Here is a 27,261-nt window from a genome sequence, read left to right as displayed (position 1 = left end):
CTTAAAAACAAAAACAAGTTAAAAACAATTTAGATGAGGTCATGAGGGTGGAGTCCTCAAGATGAGATTAGTGCCAACATAAGAAGAGACAGGAGAGACCTTCCCTTCCTCCCCCTTCCTGCCGGCCATATAAGGACACAGCGGGAAGGCTGTCTGCAAACCAGGAAGAGAACCCTCACCAGAATGTGACCATACTGGCAGATTGAGGACCTCCAGTCTCCAAAACTAGGAGAATTTCTGTTGTTTAAGCCACTCTATGATATTTTGTTATGGCAGTTCAAGCTGACTAATATAAGATCAGAGTCTTAAATCTTACTTTTGGAAAGTAACCCTTATGTTCAGCAGTATTTAAGTTTTTAATATATACTCATACATTTTCTAGTTGCTATGGGTAATGTATAAAGTCATCAAAGTTTAGAAGCTAAAGAGACTTTAAAAGATCATTCCAGATGCAAACGGTATCAGGGAAGGAAGTGTGTAAATTGGGCTTGAGCTGTTCTGGTTATGTATTCCATGCCCACTACTCTTCCACCCTTATCTCCTTGTACATTCAAGACCTCCCTTATGTAGCGAAACATTCTTATTAGGGCACTTCCCTAACCTGAGTTTCAAAACATGTTTTTGTGACTGGTTCCTCATCTGTGAGTGATGATGGTTTCATTTTTCTCCCTGGACTTTGGGACTCGACCATCTTTTGGACTGTATTGCTGACCTTTTGTTGCTTTCTTTGGCTGCGAAGAATTTATTTCTAATATAAATCAGCTCCTCTTTTCTCTTTGCTTTGGATTGATGTATGAGTGTCTGGAGGATCACCCATCTCTTTTTTCATGTTTCAGCAAAAGAAATGATCATTTTCCTTCTCTCCTCTCTCTTTGACAGTATCATCGTGAAGATTCAGTGTTCCTTTAAGCTGCTTAAATTTCATTTTTAGTATTCACAAACACCTTTTTTTTTTTTTTTTTTTTTTGAGAGGGAGTCTCACTCTGTCAGCAGGCTGGAGTGCAGTGGCGCAATCTCAGCTCACTGCAACCTCCGCCGCCCAGGTTCAAGTGATTCTCCTGTTTCAGCCTTCCCAAGTAGCTGGGACTACAGGCATGTGCCACTATGCCCAGCTAGTTTTCATATTTTTAGTAGAGACAGGGTTTCATCATGTTGGCTAGGATGGTCTCGATCTCTTGACCTCATGATCCGCCCACCTCGGCCTGCCAAAGTGCTGGGATTACAGGTGTGAGCCACCACGCCTGGCCCACTTTTTTTTTTTATCCTTTACATGGCTTAACCATCTCCTTCTTTGTGTTACCTCCACTTTGCTTTTTTTTTTTTTCTCCACTTCTTGAACGTACGGTACTTTTGTCACAATTATATGCCTCAATGTCATTTTCCACATAGAATGCTAATTTCCTGAGGACAGTTTGTGTAATTTATCTCTGCATCATCAGTGCTCAACATAAAAGCTGGTGAACTGATAGAAATAAGAAATTGATAGAAGTTCGCTGAACTAATCCATAGTTCCAAATCTGCAGTTTCACATATTTAGACTATTTTCCAGATAATCAAGGTTTTTTTCATACCTTCCTCTCCCATATCAGGATTATTGTGTGTACATTATAGGAAATTGTATGGCCATGACCATCTCTTTGACAGTTAATACAGATGCCATACATTCATTATTCACCTAAACAGCCTAACTCTTTTGGGCTTATTCATAATGTGGCCAGTGTGATGTTGGGTGACTGTTCATTGAAAGAATCTTTGGAGCAGATCTATAAACTTAAGCTATGTATCCTTGAACAAAGAACCCTGCTCTACTCTTGGTCTAATGGTACTCACTTATCGACCTGAAGCAAATACCATCTGTAGTATGCTGTTCTAGATGTGGCATCATTAATTGGCAAGCAGGGCATGTATCTTTTTGATATGATCAAAGTGGTTCATTGTTGGCTCAAGTGTGCCAGTGCCTGTAATACTTGTTTAAGACTGATTGACAGGTCTCAGATTCTTGTGTGTTTAAAGAACTTGTTTTCTATATTTGAACCCCGTATTTTGAGTGATAAGAGATGTGTCAAAGGAATTGAAAATTACTTAAATGGAAATCATTCTAACTTCTGATAAATGATGCCAAGGCAAGTCATATTTCCAGTTGTCTGCATTAAAAAATAATCTCAAGTTTGTGGGTTAAGTATTTATAGATAACTTGATAATTTTGATGGCTTCTACGCACCAAAGTGGCTAAGAAAACATGGTCAGAATTAAGGATGCTTCTCTCTTTTAGAGTAAAGTGTCATACTTACTGAATGTTTTAACATCTGACCCTTCAGTGGTAACTACATTTAGGCAAATATCCCTTAAATAGCTAAAACTGAAAATATTCCTTCACTGAATGAAATTACCCTGGTATTTCACATATTTCAAAGTCAGGGTTGAAGTAATTTTAACTTTGTGGAACATGACTCTGAATTGGGTAGTAGACTGGGGCTTAGTTGTCTGAAGCCTTTGGATTTCATTCTTCAGTACAGGGTACTCTCAGTTCTGGTGGTTCTTTCTTTGGGGTTCAAGGCCATTATTGCAAAGTAAGAGCTTTAAAAGGATTATGAATAAGGTGTAGACCTAGGGGAGGAATCTCCACCTTTGCAGTTGGGAGACAGGGAACCTGTAGAAAGTGAAATTTGAGGTGAATCTGGAAAGGTGAATGTGTATTTTCCAGGTTGTTAGAGTGGAGTTAAGACAGTGATACTTTTTTTTTTTTTTTTTTTTTTTGAGAAGGAGTCTCGCTCTGTCGCCCAGGCTGGAGTGCAGTGGCGCAATCTCAGCTCACTGCAAGCTCCGCCTCCCAGGTTGATGCCGTTCTCCTGCCTCAGCCTCCCAAGTAGCTGGGACTACAGGTGCCAGCCACCATGCCCAGCTAATTTTTTGTATTTTTAGTAGAGATGGGGTTTCACTGTGTTAGCCAGGATGGTCTTGATCTCCTGATCTTGTGATCCGCCCACCTCGGCTTCCCAAAGTGCTGGGATTACAGGCGTGAGCCACCGCACCCGGCCACATTCTTCTTATGAAACAGGGAATCACCAAAGGGTGAGGAACATTTACCATGGACTTCTTGTCTTCATGTATATTGTGTTAATTATCTAGTAGTATCTTGGGAGTAGGGGAGTGGAGAGGAAAGAATGGATGGTGAGATGCAATAGGAGCAAATTATTTGGCAGGTTTAGCCAAAGGACCAAAGGAAAAAGAATGGAGTGTTTTCAAGGGAGTGTCTTTGTGGTGACTGACTTTGGAGTTCAGAGTATTTAGGGAACTAAATGAACCAGAAGGATGATGGTAAATCGGATGTCATGGACCAGATATGTGGATAAAGTATGAGTGTCTGTGCATATGGTTTAACAATAAATAATTTTAAGCTTGAGTTTGTTTTGTTAATAATAGACTTCTTAGTCTCTGGGAACCATGACAGGGTATACTTCAAAATGGTAGTGTATACTTCTTTCTTAAACAAGCTCTGTTTTTCTGTTTGTGTAGCTTTGTTTTATTCACCTGCTCTAGAACTTATTTATTTGGCTATAATTTCTAATGTTTTTCATTTAATAGGATCATGATATATTAGGATAGTTGAATACTTAATGGATATTTTTCATCTAGCCACTCAAGACATGAAGTTCTTGTTACCCACACAAGAGGTTGGTTTGATTGTTGGGCTAGGTATCAACCCAATGACCACAACCAAGGAGATTTAGTAAGATTTAGTATTTAGTAAAGGGATTTTATTGCTTGTAACAAGTAGGGAGAACACCAGGGATAGTTCTCAAAGCAGTGTCTCCCGGAGCTGGGGACTGGGTCAGGTTTTATAAGCATATGATAATGAGGTGTGATCTGACTGGATCTTGCAATGAGGTGATGCCGGGAGGTCTGATCTTACTGGATCCTGACTTGGGGTGATGCTAGAGCTCCATCTGATTGGATCCTGGATCCTGTTAGGTGGTGTTCGCTTCTTAATTCATCCTGCTCTTAGATTCCCCCTGTGGTTGCATGCTTGGTTCATCTGGGCATGCTCAGGTTACATGAGCTGAGGGTCCATGGCAACTGAAAACGCACAACTTTGTCACCCAGAAGTTGAACCATGTTGTTCTGGTGCGGCTATACTTCCACAACATTCTTGTCATTTGGTTGCCCAGTCTTTATTTTATACTTCTATTAAGATGAATTTCATTATTTCCATGGGCAGCTATTAAATGTTAACACTTTAGCTTTTTTTAAGTTTAATTTATAGCAAGGAAAAAATCATATTAAAACTAATTAAAATGGAATAATGCATACCACTAAATATACCTTTAGAATGGCTAAAATTACAAAGACTAATCATACCAAGTATTGGTTAGGATGTGGAGGAACTAGAACTCTCATACACTGCTGGTGGATGTACGATAGTGTAACAACTTTGGAAAACAGTTTGGCAAAATTTTAAAACATGAAACATACACCTATCATACATTCCACCCTTTCTAAACTTAGAGAATGAAAAAATATACTCCTACAAAGATTTCTACATGAATATGCATATCAGTTTTATTTGTAATAGTCCCAAACTGGAAACAATCTATACGTCCATTTGCAGGTGAATGGAGAGACAAAATGTGGTATATCTAAACAATGGTCATTCAACTCAAAATAAAAAGGAATGAACTATTGATCCGTGCTAAGCATGGATGAATCTCAGCTCTATTGTGTTAAGTAAAAGAAGGCAGATTCAAAAGGCTACATATTATAACATTTGCATTTATATAACATTCTAGAAAATGCAAACAAATCTGTAGTCAAAGAAAGCAGATCAGTGGTTGCCTGGAGTTTCATCTCAGAGGAAAAGAATTAAATGCCCTATGGGGTAATCTAAAAATCTGATTTCACTTTACTGATGTGGAAAAAAATTAATATATTACTCAGGGCACTTTTCATTGCTCAGTGGCAGACATGTGTGTGAGTTCTACCCTAATTATATAGAAGGAGTTTCTTACAGAAAATAGCAGGTTTGTTACTGCTTTAAGTTGCCCAGGAACCAACTTTTCAGTGTCCTGTACACATAGTGAGTGATGTGAAATCTTTGGGTGGGGTGGGGATCTTGTTACTGACTCTGTCCTTTGAATAAGTTCTATGAGGTGAAATCACCTGGACAGATGCTGTAAACATTTTTAGGGTTCTATTGCAGATTGCTACATTTCCCTGCAGTTAGGTTATACCAAAATATGTTCCTGCCAGCAGTCTGAGAGTTTATCATTATATCGCATCACCAGTGTTGGCTGTTGTTATTTGAAAATTCATTGCCACTTAGATTTCTAGAAAATGGGAATTTATCAATTTAGTTTGTATTTTTCTGGTTACTAATGAGGCTGTTTACTCTTGAGAAGTGTTAGTTTATATACTTTGCCAGTATATGTGTAAAGTTCTAAATTGATTTGTAATTAAAAAATTCATTGTTTACAAGCAGAAATAACATTGATCAGGGGTGGCTCATGTGATGGCTCAAAATCAGAAGAATTAAGTCGCTACCAAGTCAAATTTAATACTTACCAGTCTTCCTATTATTAAATGAAATACTACGATTTGCTTTTAGGGAGACATTGACTTTCACACTCAATATTTTAAATCTGAAATTTTTTTCATTTGCTTGTACACTCGTTTTGATCTTTAAGTTATTTAAAAGCTTAATTAGAAGGTGTTTGTACCAAGTTTTAAGAGTATATATATTTTTGTTAAAATGTTACCTACATAAGGAACTCTTACAGATCCATAAGGAAAACCCAAACAACTCAGAATGAAATTGGGCAAATGACATGAACAGGTGCTTCTCAGAAGAACATCAAATGCCCAGTAGCCATGTGAAAAGACCCTTGATTTCTTTAGTAACACAGAATAATAAGGGAAATGTGAAGTAAGACAATATGGTACCATTTTATAACCATCAACTTGGCAAAGCATTTAAAAGTCTGATCAATACCAGATCCTGGTGCTGGGACAGGGAATAGGGAGCTGTCCTCCAGGGTGGAAGGCATAGAAAGTTTGGACACAACTTCTTATTTGAAGAGTGACAAATGTCTGCTAGTCTGTGGGCTTATCTTTCAGTTTCCCATTTATGGTGTTTTAGGTTCAGAAATTTTTTATTTTAATGCAGTAAATATGTATCAGTCTTCTCATTTACAGTTTGTGTGTTTTGTGTCTTCTAAGGGAAAATTGTATTTTGCTTCTACAAAGTTGTAAAGATATGGAAGGGGGGCAAGGAAGTGCTGGGAAGGGAAGGGTGTGTCTCTGGCTAGGGCTCCACCCCTGGGCCTATACCTAAGGACCCAGGTGAGGACAGGAATTCCTGTTTTCCTGCCCAAATGTTGCATTTCCCAAGACCACCCTGTCCTGCCACACCCCATCCTGTGCCTATAAAACCCCTGAGGCCCTAGTGGGCAGAGACACAAGCAGCTGGACGTCCAGAGGAGCACATCAGCAGAAGAACACACAAGCGGGATGTTGAGAGGAGCACATTGGTTGAAGAGCATGCCAGCAGGCACCGGCAGACACCGGCACGCTGGTAGGCCATCAACTGGTAGAACAACACAGAGTTTGGCCTGGGAGGTTGGAGGAGAGGCCGGGCTACTGAGCGGCCAGACTTCAGGAGAAAACTGTCTCCTTTCGGGCTCCCCCATCTGCTGAGAGCTACCACTCAATAAAACCTTGCAGTAATTCTCCAAGCCCAGGTGTGATCTGATTCAAGGCAAGAAACCCTAGGATACAGAAAGCCCTTTGTCCTTGCTATAAAGCAGGGGGTCTGATTGAGCTGACTAACACAAGCCACCTACAGAAGGCTAAACTAAAAGAGCATCCTGTAACACACCCCCACTGGGGCTTCAGAAGCTTAAACATTCACCCCTAGATGCTGCCGTGGGGTCAGGAGCACCACAGCCCACCCATCTGCATGTTCCTCCTAGGGGTTTGAGCAGCAGGGCACCGAAGAAGTGAGCCACACTCCCATCACATGCCCTGTGAAGGAGATGAGGGAACTTTTCCTGTTTCAATATTCTTTGTATGTCCTTCTAAAGTTTTAAAGTTTTGCTTTTTACATTGTCTTCACTTTTCCTCAAGAAAAAAAAATTCTCACTGGACTGTGAGAAGAATTTATTCCTTGATATTGTGACAGATACTGAAGTTCTTACCTTGCCAGAAAAAAAATTACACGAAAATGAGTCCCTTGAACCTACTGATTTCCCATTTTCTTTCCTTAGCTCCTGTCCAGCCCTTGACCCCATTGCATTAGTGGAATCTACTATCCCAGATTGGATGTAGAAAGAGCAGTGGTGATATAATGATTAGAGAAGAAACTCTGGCGGGGCGGTAATGTCCAGCAGAAGGATGGTTGACGGGTTCTGGAGGTGGCAGCACTGCACGCAGGCCAGGCTTGGGGTCAGACGCCAGCCAGCCAGCCCTGCCACACGTTCATTAGTTTGGTGTGTTACCACACTTTCTTCATCTGTAAAGTGTGGATCATAATCACACCTGATTTCAATGATGGTTTTGAGAATTATATGAACGAATACATGTAAAATATGTAACATAAGGCTTAGTAAACATTAGTCGTTATCAGAAGGTGGATCAAGCTAAGAGTCCAACTGAACATGTTTACTACACTTCCTGAAGAACTATTATTTTTGAATTTATTCATATGTTTGGCTTTAATAATGTTCAATTGTATATGGGGTAGGCAAACTGAAAGGGAGGTAGGGAAGAAAGAAAGAAAAACGAAGGGGAAAAAAAGAGAAGCTTCTGCGACACACCCATTCTTACACCCATTTTGCTGCCTCCCTATCCCTCAGCTCCTGTGTTTATTTGGGAGGAGTGGGTATCTTTTATCACATTACACAAATAGTATTTTAAGAACATTATTAAGCTTGAGTAATTAGGTGTGTGAAGTCGATCCCAGTGCAGGTCTAGTGAGTTGACTTCAGAAATGTCTTTTCGATGTAGCAACATTGCAACATGGCTTGTAAGATGCTTCTTTTGAAAAGTTTTGAGAGACTGCTTGGAAAATGATTTAATGGGGATTGATAAAGCAGTGTTTTTACACTGGAGAGCATTATAACAATAATTTCTGTGGTGGAAGTAGAGTCAAATTTGTGAAGTGTTAAGTAGTCTTTCTTCGTCATATGTTGGAAAAATAAATTAGGCATTTTCTCTTTGGTTAATAACTTGGTCTCAGTTATTTAAATTATTTGTACTACCCACCCTTTTTAGGTAAGTGACTTTACTAATGTGGAAAACAAGGGCTTTACTCTCTCAAATGTTTAGATTTTAGATAAATAGAATGCATTAGCATTGCTGCAGCTATCATTAAATCAAAAATAAAAGTGAGAAAAATAAGAACACACCTTTACTCCTAACAGATTTTTCCTTTATCATTGATGGTATCATTTACTTGTATATTGAGAACTTAAACAGGGATATTTATGGGCCCTGCTGAGATGTTCAGAAAGCTCTGCAGCCTTCATGGGTCTGCTATATGTTTGGCTTTCTTTAGCTGCTTTTATTAGTGGAGTTTGTTCTCAAAGGTGTGGCATAGCAGATCCTTAGGATTAGGGTAGCCTAAGGATCTGAGCCTAAGGATCTAAGACTTAATTTTACAGAATATTAACATACTTATAATTTCCTTTTTAGTTATATAGTCTCAGCGATGACAACCCCATTTCTGTTGCCTTACTGTTAGAGAAAAAAAATTCATTACACTCTCTAGGGAATGTTCTCTGGGAAAAAAGGAAGAATTTTGTTTTCTGGAACTGTAGTGATAGATGCCCTGTGGACTAGGAATCTTAAGGGTATGGCCAACTACTAGAGGATGCTGTATTTTTTTTTTACCAAACCCATTTGGATACTAAAACATCAGTGTTTATTTCTAGGCTAAATTATCATTTAAAATAGTTCAGATCATTTTGGTTGTATGATGTTTGAAAATGTCTGTTTTGTGAATGGAAGGGATTGTCCCTTCTCCACAGAGTTCTGGCTCCACAGACAGCACTGAACTGTTCCCAGCCAAGTCCTGCCAGTGGGACAGCCCTTTTGATTATTTGACAGCTTATCTTTTTAAGTCCTTGTTTCTTTTTTGGTGTGGTCTACTGGGCCAGACACGGTGAAGTCTCCTACTCTTTTTTAATCTAAATATTGGGCCCAAGAAAAAGTCATACTTTGCCTAGTTGCAAAGACTGTGTTTCCAGACTCCTGATGAATATTATCTCTTCAGAAGGCCTGTTCTCTTCTACCCTCAGTGTTTTCTTCCATCTCTGTGACGTTTTATCCTCCATCATCTGCCTCCATTATTCCCCGTATATCCTCTTGATGCTTCTTTTAGCTCATTCTTTCCTTTGCTGGTTCTTTATATTGCCATCATCCTTGTTCATGTCTTTATTGAATCTCACCTGGGTTATTGCAGTAAAACCCAACTGATCTCCCTGCCTTGTGTCTCCCCTAATCCCTTTTTCACACAGCTGCCCAAGTAATCTTCCCAAAGCAGTGCTAGGATTTTGTTATTCCCCTCCCTGAAAACACTCGACTGACTCCTTGATGCCTGTGGAATAAAACAGCTCTTCTAGGCAGCACTCAGGACTTCTGCTTTCTGTCGTAACAGTGGTCCCCTGCATTGCGCCTACACTGTATCCAGACTTCATTCTTTGGCTCTCGTTGGAATGCACTTTCTTGTCTTTGCGTACGCAAATTATCGGTGTCATCTTCTCTGTGACATGGCCCTTGATGACTCATGCAGAAGAGTATGTGTTTGGTATTCATTTAGTAATTGCTTCTTACTCCTTCAGCAAACAGTCTCAAAGGATGTGCTAGGGATATTACATTAATGAAACACAGACCCTGCTCTTAAGTCAAGTCACTTGTGGAACTTGCCATATAAACAATGGTTTGCAATGTAATGTGTTGAAGTATAAAATAGAGTTGTGTTCAAAGTACTGGGGTCACAGACTCTACACAAACACCTTGTATTCAGGCCATTTTTTTTAAATTCTCTTTATATCATGTTGGGTGTTTGGTACTATTAGTTGCTTTTTTGTTAAGTGCAGTTATTGAATTGTTCTGCATTATTCCCTTGCAATAATCCAGTGACTTGGTCATTCTGCTTTTCTTTCTCTATCACTCTTTCTTTTGTATCTTTGTTGGATATATGTATAAGCAAGGAAAATATTTACTTGGTTTAAGAACAAATAATTTTTAAATCATATTTCACACATTATGTGTCACCATTTTGAAAATTTAGTTGTCTTTCATTTCAGATTACTTATATACGGAAAGAAAAGTTTATTCTCTTTAACAATGGTATTCCAGTAAAGTGGATTGTTTCACAGGGGTATCAGAACCAAATGCAGTGTTTGGTGTATAGCAGGTGCTTGGCAATTCTTCATTGATAGTGTGAATACTAGAAAGAGAAACTTTGTTGGCTCCTTATGCCATTGCTCAGACTGGTTTTGATTTATATAAAAGGTCCCATTAGTTTTCTGTCTTACCTGCCAAATTTAGTATTGTAAACAACCATTCAAGACATCTTGGGGAGACCACAGTGCAACTTGTCCAAGGTGTTGATCTGAACTGTTAAGAGAAATTTAACTTTCTCTTAGTAGCAGTAGGATGTGGGCATTGCAAGCTCTGGGGAAAATGAGCTCCAACTCTAGATTTGCTGTTCATCCACCTCACCCTACGGGACAACTGCAGGATTTGTAGCATCCCGGAAGGTGACTATCTTAAACTTGAACGGTATTTCAGTGATTTGTAAGCTCAATAAGTGCAAGGTTCACATTTGTTTTGTGTACCACTGTGTATCTGCTATCCAGCACGGTCTCTGGCATGAGAATAAAAGAGATGATTTGTACCAAAAGCCTGTTTTTTTCCTTTTATTGAAGTAATGTTTTGAACATTTCCCAGATTGTGAATAACTGTCTTGAGTACATAGTCACTGTCTGGTGCTGTGTGCGAGCCAGGCTTCTACCATTGTCCGTGGGCTTGTGGCAGGCACAGGCAGAAGATGAAGTTTAACAAAAGGAAAACAGCTCAAGGAATCAGCAGTATGCCAGCCTCTTAGGAGGCAAACCCTTCAAATCCTCCCTGTGCTTTTAAAGGTTGTTAGGATTTAGAAAACCAATGTCTATCTAATAAGTCTTCTGTAGGTGGAAAGGCCGTTCCGTGCCCCTGCCTCTGTTGAGGTTCTACCGTCCTGGTGGGTGCAACAGCGGGGTGAATATCTGAGCCTTTTACCTGTCAGCCATGCACACGGGGCTGTTGGTCTCAGGCACAGAGTAGGCACAGCAGCCTAGGGTTTTAGGGGTCAAATGAAGTTGCAAATGGTCATTTTCTATGGTCTCATAAGTTTACAGCATATAAATGCTCTTATGGGGGAGATGGTTAAAAACTCTTGATTAGAGGAAAAGTTAAGGAAAAAAGAAGGGATATTTTAATGAATAAGCAGAGACTGATTTATAAGCATTCTCATAAATACAGAAAATTTAAGCTCCATTGTTAAACAGGGATGACATGGATGGGCAAAATTATTTTCTTTCCAAACAAGATGACTCTTCCTCAAAATTTCTTTCCGTTCTTCACATTCTCAGATGATTTTTATTTTTTTTAGATTATTTCCAAGATGTTAAAGTTTAATCAAGGACGTTTATATTCTAATAGAGTAATTTGTTTTTAGGTCATTAGAATGGAAGTTTAAGTGGCTAAAGTTTCCTAACAAGTTTCCTAACAAATTTAGTTTTTTCAGTCTATGTTAGAAGTTAGAGAATATTAGGGCTCTACGGAGATATATATAAATGATGCAGTCTGTATATCTTAAAGTAATGATTTTATATTATTCACTTTAATTTTGTAGCATCAGGGCACAGCCCTGATGAACCATAAAGCTACTTGAAGCACTGCAGCTAGTTTGAAATCACTGGGAAGGAATCGTCTGCAGTTCAATAGACTGTGATATTTGGGGAGCATTTGTGCACTCTTGTATTAGGAGTATAACAGTCATCATCTCAAATAGTAGACATGTAATTGTTTCATATTATTAAAATAGCAATATTGGTATGACTAATTTTTAGCTACTATGTAACTTAAATAAATACCTTTCGCTTAGAAAGCAGCATTGCTTATACATATAAATAGAGGTGAACTTTTAAAAGTATAAATATATAGTAGATAATCAGTAGTTGTTTTTGGAATAAAAGGATATTTCAACCACATTTTCATGCAGTATATTAAATGTAACATAACCCGGCCATGCCACTTTTTATCACTTACCCCTTCTGCTTATAAATCGCTGCCTTTTGAATTTCCTAATTATTTCTCAAGTTGGAACGAATTGTTACTGATAAGGCAGTTATTTTCTTATCTGTAGAAACAGCAGCTTCTGTAAAGATCTGGATTGTCTTGAAAGAGCTTCAATTTAATATAGTCATTCAGTTTTTTTTTTTGTTTTTTTTTTTGAGACGGAGTCTCACTCTTTCACCCAGGCCGGACTGCAGTGGTGCTATCTCGGCTCACTAAAAGCTCCGCCTCCCGGGTTCGTGCCATTCTCCTGCCTCAGCCTCCTGAGTAGCCGGGATTACAGGCGCCCAGCACCGCGCCCGGCTAATTTTTTGTATTTTTAGTAGAAACAGGGTTTCACCATGTTAGCCAAGATGGTCTCGATCTTCTGACCTCGTTATCCACCTGCCTCGGCCTCCCAAAGTGCTGGGATTACAGGCATGAGCCACCGCGCCCGGCCAGTCATTCAGTTTTAAAGGCATAGAGTCATCTTTAAAACGTCATAAGAAGACATTTTTTGCATACTCATGTTAATTCTGAAATATAATTAGTGTCACGGGGACATGATTGCCGCATCTGGACTGTCAGCTCTTCATCAGCTACTTGAATCTGATCAAATCTTTTCAGTTGAGTATTGAAAACCTTGGGTCCCAAAAGAACAGGGGCATGTCAGAAGTTAACTCTTTCCATTGAACTTAATTGAGGCTTTATCATCCTTTAAATTTTTTCTTATTTTTAAGAAAATAACATTTTAACAAAACTCTGCCTCTGTTTTTATTCTGCTCTTTAGTTGTCTTTTTATAGAGCTTTTGTTTATTTATGTATTTACCTGTTTTCTCATTGCATGAGATGTGCCTCAGACTCTGAATGATTGTGGTTCTTGTTCCCTTGGGAGCTTCATCGAGCTTTTCTATGCCAGATGCTGAGTTTAAAGTAGATTTCTGCTCTCATGGGCTCACAATTAAGTGCCAGAGACAAGCAGCAAAGTGAGTTATTGTTCTGAAACAGGAATGCTTGGATAGAGACTGATGTGGGAACACACAAGAGGGGTATGCCATCCTGCAGAAAGGAAGTTAGGGGCCTTCCCATAGGAGGTGATGCTTGCATTGAATCTTTTAGAAAGAGCTGGAATTTGCCAAGTGGTGGGCGACAGAGGCTATGCATGGCCTATACTAAGCCAAATATATAGAGTTAAAGAAAACATTTCAAAAAACCAGGATGTTTAGAATCTTGTGAATCTTTTGGGTCTGGCTGGAAATGAGCCTGAAGAGATAGGTGGAGCCACGCAGTGAAAAATGGCTTTATCAGTAGGACGACTATATATTTTACTATTCGAATGAGGATGAAAGGGCAGCTCTTAATAATTATACCTGGACAGCAGTGATAGACACAAGGGCAAACTGGGATGTATGGTTGTTCTGTTTAAAAGCCATATTAAGGAATTTACTTTAAACAGGGTAGCAACATGTGTAATTTGCTTTTAGAAGACTGACTTTGGGATTAGCAGTGTGGAAAATGGGGTGTTGGAGAAGACGAGCGTGTGTCGGGGGATGTGCTTGTGGGGCTTGTTTGGGGAAGTGGTGTCAATTAAGAGATCATTTGCTACAGCAGTGGGAAAAGGATGGATTTGAGAGGTATTAAGAGAGATAGAAGGATAGGACTTAGTGACTTTTGATTGCTTGTGTGGGGTATGAGGGAGAAAAATTTCTCTGGGATGACTCTTAGTACTCTGGCTTAGATAGCTAAGTGGACTGAGAGTCATTAGGTGAAATTGAGAATACAGAAGAAGGCACTGGTTCTGGAATTGACAATTTGACACAGAGCTGTAGAGTAGTTGTTGAATGTGAATATGCAGCTCTAAAGAGAGGCCTGAGCTGGATTGAAAATACCGCTGTTTAAGAGGCAGGCTGAGGATCTACAACCTGAAAGGGTGACTGAGAAGTTGTGAGTGAGTAGAGGCTGGGTGCAGTGGCTCACGCCTGTAATCCCAGCACTTTGGGAGGCCAAGGTGGGTGGATCACCTGAGGTTAGGAGTTTGAGACCAGCCTGACCAACATGGTGAAACCCTATCTCTACTAAAAATACAACAATTAGCTGGGTGTGGTGGCGCATGCCTCTAATCCCAGCTACTTGGGAGGCTGAGGCAGGAGAATTGCTTGAACCCAGGAGATGGAGGTTGCAGTAGGCCAAGATTGCGCCATTGCACTCCAGCCTGGGCAACAAGAGCAAAACAACAACAACAACAACAAAAGTTGTGAGTAGAAAGGCAGGAAGGAAATGAAGAGAAGTGGGTGTAATGGAAGCCAGTGGAGTAGAGTTTCAGGTGCCAGAAAGCCATGGGGACTGAAGGGCATCCACTGACTTTGAAGCTAAGAAAGCTTTGGTGACCCTTCCCCCAGCCATTTTGGTGGTGTCATTCAGGTAGAAGACCCATTTCTTGTCTACTAGTAAATGGACATAGGGAATGAAAGGAAATAGGCAGCCATTCCTTTGTATACCTTGGATGATTGGTTCCTTGGAAGTATCTTTTCTCATCAATTGGCAAAAATGGTAACTTGAGCAAGAGAATAGTGAGTCATGTGTATATATATTTTCCACATCCACACTCGTGAGGAATGAAGTACATCTGAGGCTGGCCAGCCAGGCTTCTTTGTTGGTTGAATGACTGTGATGCAGTTTAAATGGTATTTGTAACCCAAAAATTCTTTCTTTTTTATTTTGTAGTCTGGTTCTGGATTCTTCCTAGGTACTTATTCAATTCTATGTGTAGTTATTAAAAAATCTACAACCCTCAAACTGTAAATATTTTAACTTGGTTTTAAATGAGAACAAAAGGGGGAAGGAAGATGAGTTGCTGCCAACACAGTGGCAACTCTCAGCTGTTCTGGGGCAGGAGAGCTAGGTCACCTGAGAAACTTGTGTACTTCAAGTACAGGAGTGGTGAACTGGACTAGAGAGTGGGTGGGTCTGGTCCTTTTCACTATCTGTTCCCGGTATGAAAACATTAAATGGTTTTACTGTTTCAATGAAGGAAGTCCTCTCTTCTCACTTTTAAGCAAAAGCCAGCAGCCTGTCTGGTAATTAATATGATATTTCCATTTGCTAATGGGGACTGAAATTTTCAGCGTCTTAATTTTTGTCTCTTTTATTTTACATTTAATGTTTATTTTGCATTACTTTGTTTTAATTCTGAACTAGTTTTTCATTATATGTTTAGTAATCATTGTTTCTGTTTTTTATGTTGAACATTTAAAAATCTTCATTTACTTAACATTTATAACATATCCAGAATTTAATATTGCTGTGAAGTCAGACTAGGCGTGTATTCATTATTTTTTCTTGTAGGATTTTTGTTCAGTCTCTTTCCTAATATTTGCGATGATTGTTCACTTGAGAGCTAAAGTCTTCTCCCCCATTTTCCTAAGGGGAAGCATATTGTAGTAACTGTCATTAAATAATTTCCCCATAAACAGTGTGCAATGGGTTCATGTTTTTATAGCCTATTTTTTGGTGGGAAGGAGTACTGATGTGCTAGGTAAGAATGATGGATTTCGCTTTTGTCGTTGGGCCCATAAATAACAAAAATATAACAAAAAATAAAAACATAACAACAGTTTACTTTTTTTTACTCAACAGTGTTTATATAGCTCGTTGTTGTCAATGCTGAGGGAAAAGAAAGTTGGAAGGAAGCAGTGGTCAGCAGCGTCAGTTGTCACAAAGCAGTCAAGGATGGGAATGCTGAAAGAATTCCCCGTTTGCTTCAGCCTCTGAAGTTCTTGGCAACCTTAGGGAGAGCAGTTAGCGATGGAAGGGTGGACAGCAGCCAGCTGCCATGCTACTCAGGAGTGACAGTGATGGGAGGCCCCGGAGCACTGAGTGGATGGCTGTCCTGGGGAACTGGCTGGAGCCCTTCCATCTTCCCTTTTGCATTTACTGAACCTGTATTGTGAGACTTTCAAGAGAGCTTCATGAAAGTTCTCCAACTTCAGGATTGCTTGTTTGATTAATATATTCTCCATCTTGAATCAAAGAAGGGTTTAGTGCTGGAGAGGAAATCTTAGAGCAACTGAAAAGATTGGAGAGTTTATAGTTAAAGAATATACTGTTCTGGCCGGGCAGAACGGTGGCTCACACCTGTACAGTGGCTCACACCTGTAATCCCAGCACTTTGGGAGGCCGAGGCGGGAGGATCACATGAGGTCAGGAGTTCGAGACCAGCCTGGCTAACATGGTGAAACCCCATCTCTACTAAAAATACAAAAAAATTAGCTGGACGTGGTGGTGCATGCCTGTAGTCCCAGCTACTCAGGAGGCTGAGGCAGAAGAATCCCTTCTTCTGCTGGTTAGCAGGCAGAGGTTGCAGTGAGCCGAGATCACACCACTGCACTCCAGCCTGTGCGACAGAGCGAGACTCTGTTTCAAAGAAAAAAAGAATATACTGTTCTGGTTTTAAAATAAGTCAGTGAGAAAATAAGTATTTGTACTTGTTTTTGTTTTGTTTTGTTTTGTAGATGTATAGAAAACCTGCGATTAGGTGTGTTTTTCATAGGCTTCTTAAGTCCAGATGGAGGTCTTGCTTCCCTCCTGGGTGTATCATCAGTGGAGAGTAAAATAAGCAGTAAAATGAGCTTTTCCCAAGTATGAAAGAACAGACGTTTGCTTTTCACACATGGAGTGTAAGTGTGGCGTGCTTGCTAACTGTGACTAAAGAGCATGAAGTTGCATAGGCAACCATGTGGATGTTGAGATTGCTAACTAGTGGGTCTCTGAGAGAACAAAAATGAAATCCTGGCTTCTATTTCTTATTCATTCCTCTCTGGGTCCGTGGGGATGCAGCATTTTTGAAGGAATCAATTATCCATTTGTTAGTCAGAGGAGCCTTACAAATTATACATTAGGAGATTGATTTCTTGGGTTCACTGTTGGGGGACTGATAGCTTAAGGTGGGATGATGAGGAGTATCAGGGGAAAAGAAGTTGCCACAAAGAACACCATTAAAAGCAGCTTTCGAAATGACCGTGAATTTATTCCTAATTGAAGAGCTGACATAATCCATACTAAGTGTATTTATTTCAAGCATCTTACATTAGGTAATTGATTATCACATGAGGTGTACATGTTGGTAATTTTACCTTTTCTTTAAATTTAAGAACTTGAGACCACCTGTAGTGGACTTAGATTTAGAAGGTATGTGCTGGTCCTTGCCCCCTCCTGCTTACTCGGACTTCTTTTTTTATTCCATTAAGGAAACATTTTTGTATGTTCTATAGTGTCAGCTTGACATTATTGATTTTTGAACAAACTCACTTATATTGTCCAGAATTCCAAACATGTCTCCATTAGTAATAAAATTGTAGCTAATGGAAAATACAGCTGAGGCCATTTTTCTCTGGTCTTCTTTTCTCTCATCTCTTTCACTTTCCCACATTTATGCCAGTATTACATCTTTGCAAACACACACCCCAAATTTTATGTTTAGATGTGATGGTTTCTGCTCATTGCTGTTATGGTAAAAGGTTTAGGAAAATCAGTCATTTTAGCTATGCAGAATCCTGTACTAGAAGGTTTCCCTCTATGTTTGGGAATATCCTGTACCCTTTCTCTCTTTCCATTTTTTTTTTGTTTGTTTTTTTTCCTGTTGTTGCTGTTTGTTTCTTTGTTTTCAGTGTATAGAAATGGTAGATGTACGTAAGGCATTTGTTTCTTTTATAGGATTATGGATGCCAGGCTAGTTGCATGCAACATTGACAGTTGTAATATTGAAATCCTCTTGTTTATTTGTTCTTTATTAAATGTTATGGAACTGTTATGGAAATGGAATGTGCATAGTGATGATACTCAGTTATCACTCAAAAATATGCATGTAAGTTCCTGCAATCATGGTTTTAAATATTATATTTGATATCTGGTTTCTTTTTGTTTTTAGATTAATGAATTTCCTACCTTGCCATATATTAAAACTATCTTCTGATTAGAAACAAAATAAATATTTTTTTTGTAGAAATCTAGTAAAGCATAGAAAGGAGTAACCCAAACATTAATAACTTAGCACTCAGATATAACCAATGCTAATATTTGGGAGTATCTGCTTCCAGTCACATAGGTGATATACAAATACTGTAAGTATAGTAATATTCGGCTAACCTGGAGTTAACCAAACTTCAAGATTTGAGAGCACAGTTCTCCTGACAGCCAAATCTACCCAAGACTTCTGACATACACTGCAAGTTGTGGGGATTCCCAAAACCACCCTCATGTTTGATGGGTAGGAGACTCACAGAACTCACTGAAAGCTGTTATATTCATGGTGCTTTATTACAGGGAAAGGATACAGGTCAAAAATCAGCCAAAGGAAGAGAGAACATACAGGCTACAGCATGGGATGGTTTCAAATGTAAAGCTTTCATTGTCCTCAGGATGTGCTACCCTCCTGGTATAGATGTGTGCTAACCAGAGAAGCTCACCTGAGCCTCAGTGTTCAGGATTTTTATGTAGACTCTATTACACAGGCATGATCGACTGAGGGTTATTCATGTGGTTAATCTCAGCTGCCAGGTTGACTAATACCACTCTGACCCAAAGCCCCCACCCACTAAATGATTGGTCTTTTTGCTTTGTCCAGCTCCCATGCTAATACGATTGGGTATGGCAGGCCTACCCTAATGTCTGGTCTGGCCAGCCCCCTGCCTTTAACCTAAGATGTTCCTGTCTATTACACAGAAGCCAAGGGCAAGGGCTGGACTTCTCACTGGACAAAGCCAAATACCTTACTACATAATACCTTTTTGTTAAGTTAATTTTTAAGAATTATCATTTAGATGCTTTGCTTTTAGAAATTTAGATAATTTCTATTTCTTAGTATCTTACAAAAGAAACTTGTTGTGAAAAGACCTTTGTGAAATAGTAATCTTTTTGCTTCTCTTTGGTCATAATAGATAATGTATATTTTAAGTAATTTTGATACACATTTTCAAATACCCTTCAGAAACATTTTCCAAATTTGAATTATCAGCAGTGTAAGATGAGTAGAGTATCCTTTTTTGTGCTTCTTTGCCAAAACTACTATTTTAAAAAGTTTGCTGTTTCCAAAGGTAAAATATGTTATTTTTTGGTTTTCATTTTTTTTTGTTAAATTAACTCTTGTTCTTGTTTACCTACAATTTATGCACATTGACTGTTTACTTGGTTTGATTTTGGTGACTAAAAAATTCAAATTTCTTCAAAAATCACTCCAAATAAAAATTTAAAATGTGTAATAAGGTACAAAGATGTTTGCAGTCTGCATGACATGGGGTAAATATCCTTTACCTATAATTACTTCTTATAAATCAGTTTAAAAATTATGGACATCTCAAAAGTAAAATAGTTTCTGCTCCTGGATTCATTCTTAGAACTAATATAGCTTAAGACTGCAGTTTTTACTGATGTATTAACTAGCTTTTCTCTCCAATTCTCTTTAAAGTGACCCAAGAAATGGGAAATATTTATACTTTCACTTTGAAACAGAGAAGGGAAGACTGTAGTAAATAATTAAGTACTAAATAATGTGATTGCATTGATTTTGGGGAGGCATAAATCAAGTATAATTTATAATAATTTAAAGGTAATTGCGAATAAGATAAAAGTAGATCAACAGCATCTAATTGTTGGATAGAAAAGAAAAAGAATTTGAGTAATATAGCAAATAATAAAAAATGAAATGGGGAAACATAAAAACTATAAAATAATGTAACTAAGCCAATGCTAAATGGATCAGATATTGTTATATTGATTAAAGAAAAATAACCTTAGCTTTGAAGGACACATATTTTACAAAATGAGAAAGTGAAAAATAAAAATGTGAGCAAAATACACAGTAAAAAGCCAAACAGAAATCAAGCGTGTTGGTAGTAGAAATGTGATAAAAACTAGAATTTAGGGCAAAAGAGCATTAACCAGCAGAAGGCATAGTATATTGATTACATTTACAAGTTAAAAGGAAGATTGAGTATAATCATTGTACCCTTTGATATGCCAAATTATAGGGCATCTAGTATCTGGACCAAAATTCATTTGAAATTCAAGGATAAATGAACAAAACTACAATTGGAGTATGAAGTTTTTGAAACTTGTTTTTAATCAGTCTTTGATAGATGAAAGAGAAAACAGTAAATATATAGAGAAATTAAATAATATAAATAGCATGATTTTAAAATACATATTTTGAGCCTAAAATAGAGAATATGAATTATTTTGAAATTATGTCTTAGGTTTACAAAGACAAATTATTAAATTTCTAAAAATAGATATTATACAAACCACATTCTCAGACCACAATGCATCCACACTAGACTTTATTAATAACTAGATTAATGGGCAAATACAACATCACCATCCTTGGAAATGAAACAAAATGTTACTTTTCTCAAAAAGGAAATAATTACTGTAATTACACATTAACTTTTGTCCTTTGGTTTTTGACCAATGATAAATCAAAAGCATTTTATTATATGACTGACAAATGAGTCATTATAATTATTAGGCAGTATATTAATGTCTGGAAATTACAAGATGGTGAACAAAATTGTTCTAAAGTAAAAAGGGAAAAAATTAAGGAATAATAGTAAGAAATTAATAAAATAGAAAAATTTTAAAATAAAGTGAATTGTTGAGTTTCTGCAAAGAGGCTAGTACAGCTGATAAACACCTGATAATGATAATCAAAGAAAAAAAGGAAACACAAGTACTTATACCTGTAAGATATCTGTATATTTGCAAATATGAAATAGGAAAAGTAGTAGTACCTACCTTATAGAATTGATGTATTAAATGATGTATGTATAAAACTCATAGAATAGAGCCTGGTGTATAATGACCGTATAGTAAATATTAACTTAGTAGTAATAGTTTTACTATTTATTCTTAGTAGTATTAATATCATCAGTATTATTAAAACAGTGAACGAACAAAAAGTAAAATAAAAGATATTTTCATCACTGATGAATTTAAAATGTGCTATTTTTTTTTCTTGGAAAATATGAATGACCAGATTAGAATGAGAACATTTGAGTAGCTTGACAATTAAAGTGGAAAAAAAATGAAAAAAAAATCTCAAAATTTAAGAAATAACCCATTAAAGATGTCGATCTCAGACATTTTCCTGGGCCAGTTCTTTTTGATCTTCTTAAATTTTTAATGTTTATTTGTGAAATGTAACTTTACATAAAACGTGTAGTAAAACAGATCATCACCATGCTAACAGTCACAAAACTACCACTCTGTTGAGAGTAAACCATGTGACTCTTCCTAATCACAGTGTTCTCTCTTCCCCTCAGAGGTAACCACTATACTGACCTTTATAGTAATAACTCTCTGACTTCTCCGTTTTATTTTACAACCTGTGTGTGCTCCCCCTACACACTCTGGTTTTGCCTATTTTTGTGTGTTATGTAAATGGAATCACACAATACTTGTCAGGAATGAGGAAAGGATGCTTTCTGTGATTGCTGCTCCTTGAATAAAACTGTCAAAGGAATATTAAGACCTCTCAGGGGAAACATATAAAACTTTATTTAGAGATACTGAAGAAGACCTAAATAAATGGAGAAATGTTCCATGTTTGCGGATTAAAAGATTCAATATTACAAAGATAACAAAGGGAGAGCTCTCAACATCTTACCATTAAGTGCAATATTTTCCTAACCATTCAGAAGATATTCTTTAAGAGACTGAGGAATTTTTCTCCTTGTGTGCTAAAAAAGTTTTTTTTTTTTTTAAATACCATGAATGGATATTGAGTTTCATCAAAAACTTTTTGTAGCCCTTGAGATAATTCTATGATTTTTCTCTTTTATCAATATAGAAAATTAGCGTTTATAGGTTAAATCAGCTTTGTATTTTTGGAATAAACTTGGATTTTCTCTATAGGCTGGCTTTGTTAATTGTTTCTTTAGGATTTTTTCATTTATGTTTGTGGGTAAGATTTACTTGTACTTTTTCTTTCTCCTAATATTCTTATTGAGTTTTATTATTATAAGGTTATCCTGGTCTGGTAAAATGGGTTGAGGAGCATTTCCTTTTTATTTTTTTTCTCTGCAAGAATTTATGTTGAATTGGAATTTTTTATTCTTTGAACATTCTCTCATGAAGTTAATATTCTAGTGAGTGAGTTTGAAAACAAATAAGTAAAAGATACACTAAGATAGTGGCAAGTGCTAAGGAGACAAAACAAAAGCAATGAGGAGTTATGAAATGTTTGGGTAAAATGTTGACTTTTTAGATTGGTTGGCCAGATCTCACTGAGAAGATGATTACCAGCACAGAGTAGGCAGAAAGGCATTCCAGGCAGAGGGTGGACAAATGGAAAGGCCTTAAGGCTGGAAAAGCAGCAAAAGGTCATCAGGACTGGAGTAGAGAGAACCAGGGGAAGAGGGGATGAGGTCAGAAGTTGGAGGGAGGGCAAAGGCCAGATAATTTAGGACTGTCAGGTCGTAGTAAAAATCTTGGCTTATTTCTTGAGATAGGAGGCCATTGGAGGGTTTTAAGCAAAGGAATGTCTCTTATCAACCTGTTAACATAGTGTCACTGTGCAGGCTTGCTGAGAATAGATTTCTAGTAGAGTTAGGGCAGGAGAAAGTCACCTAGTTAGGAGACCATTAGGGTAATCCATATGAGAATGATGGACCAGAATAGCAGCTGTAGGGGTGGTGAAATGTGGTCCGAGTCTGAATAAATTTCATCAGAAGAGGTGATAGGAGTTGTGAAAGATTAGATATAGAGTGGACATAAAGACAGGAATCAAAAGTAGCTTGAAAGTTTTTACCCAGATCAACTAGAAAAAGGTAAGCAGAAGGCATTAACTGAGGTGGGGAAACCATCAGGAAGAGCCCTTTCCAGAGGGAATATTGGGATCTTGGTTTTGGATATGTTTTAGATGAGGTGCATATTAGGCATCCAAGTACAGATATAAAAGAAACCATCTTAGATACTGGTCTGCAATAGGGAGAGGCCCTGCCTGGAGATAAAAATGTAGGAGTCATTCCATGGCCTGGAGAAAATACTATGTTTTGAGTATAGATGTAAAAAAGAAGAGGTGCAAGGACTGAACCATGAGATATGGAAGTCAGGAATTACCAGTGGTGCTACGTGCTCCAATTAGGTGAAGTAAGTTAGGATTGAACAAGGACCATTATGTTTAGCAACATTGGGGTCATTTGATCTCAAAATTTACAAGAATAAGTACTTGAGAAAAGCCAAAGAAAATGTGAAAAGTTGTGACTGAGACTTACTAGATATCAGAACATACTATGTACACCCTCTATAATTAAATCAATGCTGAATTGATACAGAAATGGACAAAGAGACCACAACTGAAAACTCAGAATGTTATGTGAAAATTAGCTGGACGTGGTGGCACGTGCCTGTAATCCCAGCTACTCGGGAGGCTGAGGCAGGAAAATCACTTGAACCCGGGAGGCGAGGTTGCAGTGAGCTGAGATTGTGCCGCTGCACTGTAGCCTGGTGACAGAGCTAGAATCTGTCTCAAAAAAAAAAAAAAAAAAAGAAAGAAAGAAAATGAATTCTGAAATGTAAAAGACTTAAATATAAGAAATAAAGTAATAACCATCATGCAAAAAAATAGGAGACTGTATATACAATATCTGGATAAATATACCTCATACCCTAAAAATAGAAAAGAGCTCTTATAGATTGACAAAACAACAAACATGTTAATAGAAAAAAATGAGTAAGAGAAGTGAACAAGCAGTTTACAGAAGATCAAATTAATTGGTCAATAGACTTAAGAAAAATGGTTAAGTTTATTAGTAGTCAGGGAAATGAATCAATGAATATTGATTGTTGGCAGAAAAAAAAGTGAAAAAAAACCCTTCTATTGCTAATAGAGGTACGTGGGAAAAAGGATTATCTTACCTTAGAGGTATGATTTTTTTCCCCCATAATGTTGCTAATGTGATGGCACAAATGGTTTCCATTCAGTGAGAAACATGTTGTAATGGAAACTTCGTTTATTTGCACTTGGAATGCTATTGTGTGACATACATAGCCCTTAGTAGCACTGTGGCTTTAGACCACTCACATAAATTCTTGAAGCCTCATTTTCCTCATTGTGAGATGGAGATAACCAGCCTTAGCTGACTGCTTTCCTCTGGGGTTGAATAACAGATCTTGTGTATGCCAGGTCTTTGCAAATGATATAATGTGATTTACAGAATATTAGGATAGGCCATGAGCTTTTCAATACCAGAGTCCAAGAACAAATTACATAAACGTGTATATAGAAGGAAAATCTACTAAGTGTAACTTGCAGTAAAGAAGAGCTTTGTAAAGAAGGCTTGATGTCTTAGTTACTTTCATTATTGGATCTCAGTTTTCTGAGCACAGAACAACGCTCTCCAGTAGAACTTACTGCAGTGATGATGTTCTGTGATCTGTATGCTTTCCAGTACTAGTCACATGTAGTCGTTGAACACTTGGCATGTGTTAGTGCAGCAGAGGATCTGATTTATCGAATTTTAATTTAACTTTCAGTTTTAAAGGCTGCATGTGGACAGTACCATATTGGACAGGAAACCTAGGCTGCACACACTTACTAAATTATAATTTGAGGCAGCTTACAACCAGATGCCAAAGAAATTACAATCAGAGGTAGGTGCAGTTTATATTTGCCAAGACTAAAATCGATATTTAAAAAAATGTAGTTTGATGAACTCAAGATCTGAATAAGTAAACTATTAACAGAAGATATTCAATTTGAGGAAGGAATTTATTCAAAGACTATAGAAGTTGAACATTTAGACTTCTCAGCCGGAAGTCCAGACATGCTGGCCTAGGTGCTTTCCCAGATCAGCTTTTGCTTTCTTTGTAGATTCCTTGCTGCCAGTGCAGTATTCTTCACTCCTCCCAGGTTGTAGCCCTGGCTCCTCTCTTTTCTCTGTTTTGATTCCCTGCTATGAGCTTCAGTTTATTCTTCTACAAAATGGATCAAATATCTATCTTCAAGGAACCTTTACTCTTCTGACATTCTAGGAACTTTAAGGAGCTAGCTGATTTTTCATGGACTGCATTTCAGGGGTGTCGCTCATGTGGTGATTTAGGGATCAAGATGAGAAAGGATTTTGTAGCCAGGAGTCTCATCCTCCATGTCAAAATGTCTTTCCATAGCATCAATCAGTGGGTGGCCTTTTTGAGGTCTGGGAGCCTTGGTCTGCCCTGACCTTTGCCTACTTGATCTGAGATATTTTTCAGTTGAAGATCCCACATTCAACTTTGCATATTTCCATTTATTTTATCATCAAGCCAAACCATTTTAAGGCTAAATATTTTTTAAAAACTACTCTGCAAGCTCATGTTGTAGCTGCCGTAGGCTTACTTTTCTTCTCATAGTTTCTACTGTGCTTTGTGTAAGATAGTTGGAAACTGTCATTATTTAAGAAGAAAACAAAGAGCTTACTATTTTACAAAGAGCAAAGACATTGATTGTTGATATATATTTTCCTGAAGTTTTACACATCTTTTTGTCTTTTTCTTTTTAGAGTCCTGTGAAGATAAATCAGATTAGCTTGGATGAAAGTGGAGAGCACATGGGTGTGTGTTCAGAGGATGGCAAGGTATGGCAAAGATGTGGTCATGCAGAGAGTTCTGTGGCGCCAGCCCCAGGTGATCGGAACAGCACCTTGCTTACTATATAACTGCATTAAGACAATCTTGATTATTCTTTCTGAGTATTGAACTTGCTTCTGATTGGTCATAATTGAAGTAAAATATATTTTGCACAAATGTGCCTTAGGAAAAGTAATTACAAGAATGTCAATAATGTAACTAGTATTAAGCTGATTAACAGCTGTGGCAGGGTGACGTGTCACCTTAATCATTACTACCGTGCCACTTCTGCTTCAGTGACTAGTCTGCAGTTCCTGCAAGACAGTAGTTTAATGTCTTTCTGCCATAAATCCACAAAATTGGATTTTGTGGGCATGATTTCTGTGGGCCAGTGGTTTTCATTTTCACACACAAGTTATGAATGTTTCTCTTGAATTATAGAATCTTTTGATAAGCAATCATAGTTTATCAGAAGAATAAAGTGTCTTACAATGGCCACATTAAATAAATGTAAAATCAATATATGTACAGTTTTCTAAAAACCTGGCGCCTACTTCCTCGACCAAGGACATACATCATTTGTGCAGTGTATAACTAACAATTATCAGTGCTTCTTGCTGATGTTGAGCTGTGACATTTAATGGTTGTGGTGATTGATTTTCCACTTATAAGAATGTCTTTTTTGTTTTTAAGTCGATGGAAATCTTTTCTAATGTTGGTTTGCAATGATAAAATCCTAATGCACAGTGTATTTAAGCTACTTTTCTAAAATAACAGTTTGAGAGAGTGCATTAAGAATCATTATAGATCTTTACATATTCCTTACTGAGTAAAGCAGATTTCCTAATCTAATTTTGTATTTATTATGTGCCCTAAAGTCAGTGGGCCATTAAGATGGGTAAATTAAAAACAGTATACCCGGTGTAAAAGAGATATACCCATTTAATCTGTTAACAAAAAGCAACATGAAGTCTCTTGACATACAAGAATGCATTTTATATATCTAAGCCTAATGTTGCCCAAAGAGTCTTTTGAAACAGTAATTGGAACACTAGTGCTTTTCAAAAAGCACTGTCAAATTTTACAGTACTTTCAGAAATTCTGAGATTGTCATGATTATCAGAGAGAGATGAAGGAGGAGTTGGTTTGTGCAGAAATGGAGAAGAATTATCCACACCGCTGAAACATTTTTTGTGTTCATGTATTTGTAAAGAAAGATAATCTTCATTTTGTTTTCTTAAAGGTGAGAAATTCCTTTTGGGCTGTAATCAGTTTAACCGAACTAATTTGTTGAAAGATAGTACTCATTTTTATTAAAAATTGGAAACGAATTTTTACTAAATACTT

At 37.6% G+C, this 27,261-nt stretch overlaps 1 protein-coding gene across 3 annotated transcripts in view, besides 1 other annotated feature; it reads left to right on the top strand.

Annotated features, from left to right (window-relative positions):
* The window catches only part of VPS41 (VPS41 subunit of HOPS complex), a 186,218-nt gene that overhangs the window by 53,016 nt on the left and 105,941 nt on the right, over positions 1-27,261 (top strand). For 2 of the 3 annotated variants that reach the window (XR_007060008.1, NM_014396.4), the window contains exon 5: positions 25,848-25,922. The exons of the other annotated variant lie outside the window; for it this stretch is intronic. Coding sequence is in view for 1 of the 2 variants with exons in the window: in NM_014396.4 (NP_055211.2) it covers positions 25,848-25,922 (75 nt within the window). In the remaining variant the exon portion in view is untranslated. The remainder of the gene's footprint in view (positions 1-25,847; positions 25,923-27,261) is intronic. 3 annotated transcript variants of the gene reach the window in all.
* Positions 22,700-22,900: a silencer, noted in NCBI's record as "peak6495 fragment used in MPRA reporter construct". NCBI's record gives its function as "represses an SCP1 promoter by STARR-seq MPRAs in K562 erythroleukemia cells {active_cell/tissue: K562}" and the evidence as "EXISTENCE:reporter gene assay evidence [ECO:0000049][PMID:32103011]".

This window comes from Homo sapiens, chromosome 7 (genome assembly GCF_000001405.40).
Source record: "Homo sapiens chromosome 7, GRCh38.p14 Primary Assembly".
Taxonomy (NCBI): Eukaryota; Metazoa; Chordata; class Mammalia; order Primates; family Hominidae; genus Homo; species Homo sapiens.
Note: the sequence above shows the minus strand (reverse complement) of the source record. Positions and strands in the feature narration are given on the sequence as shown.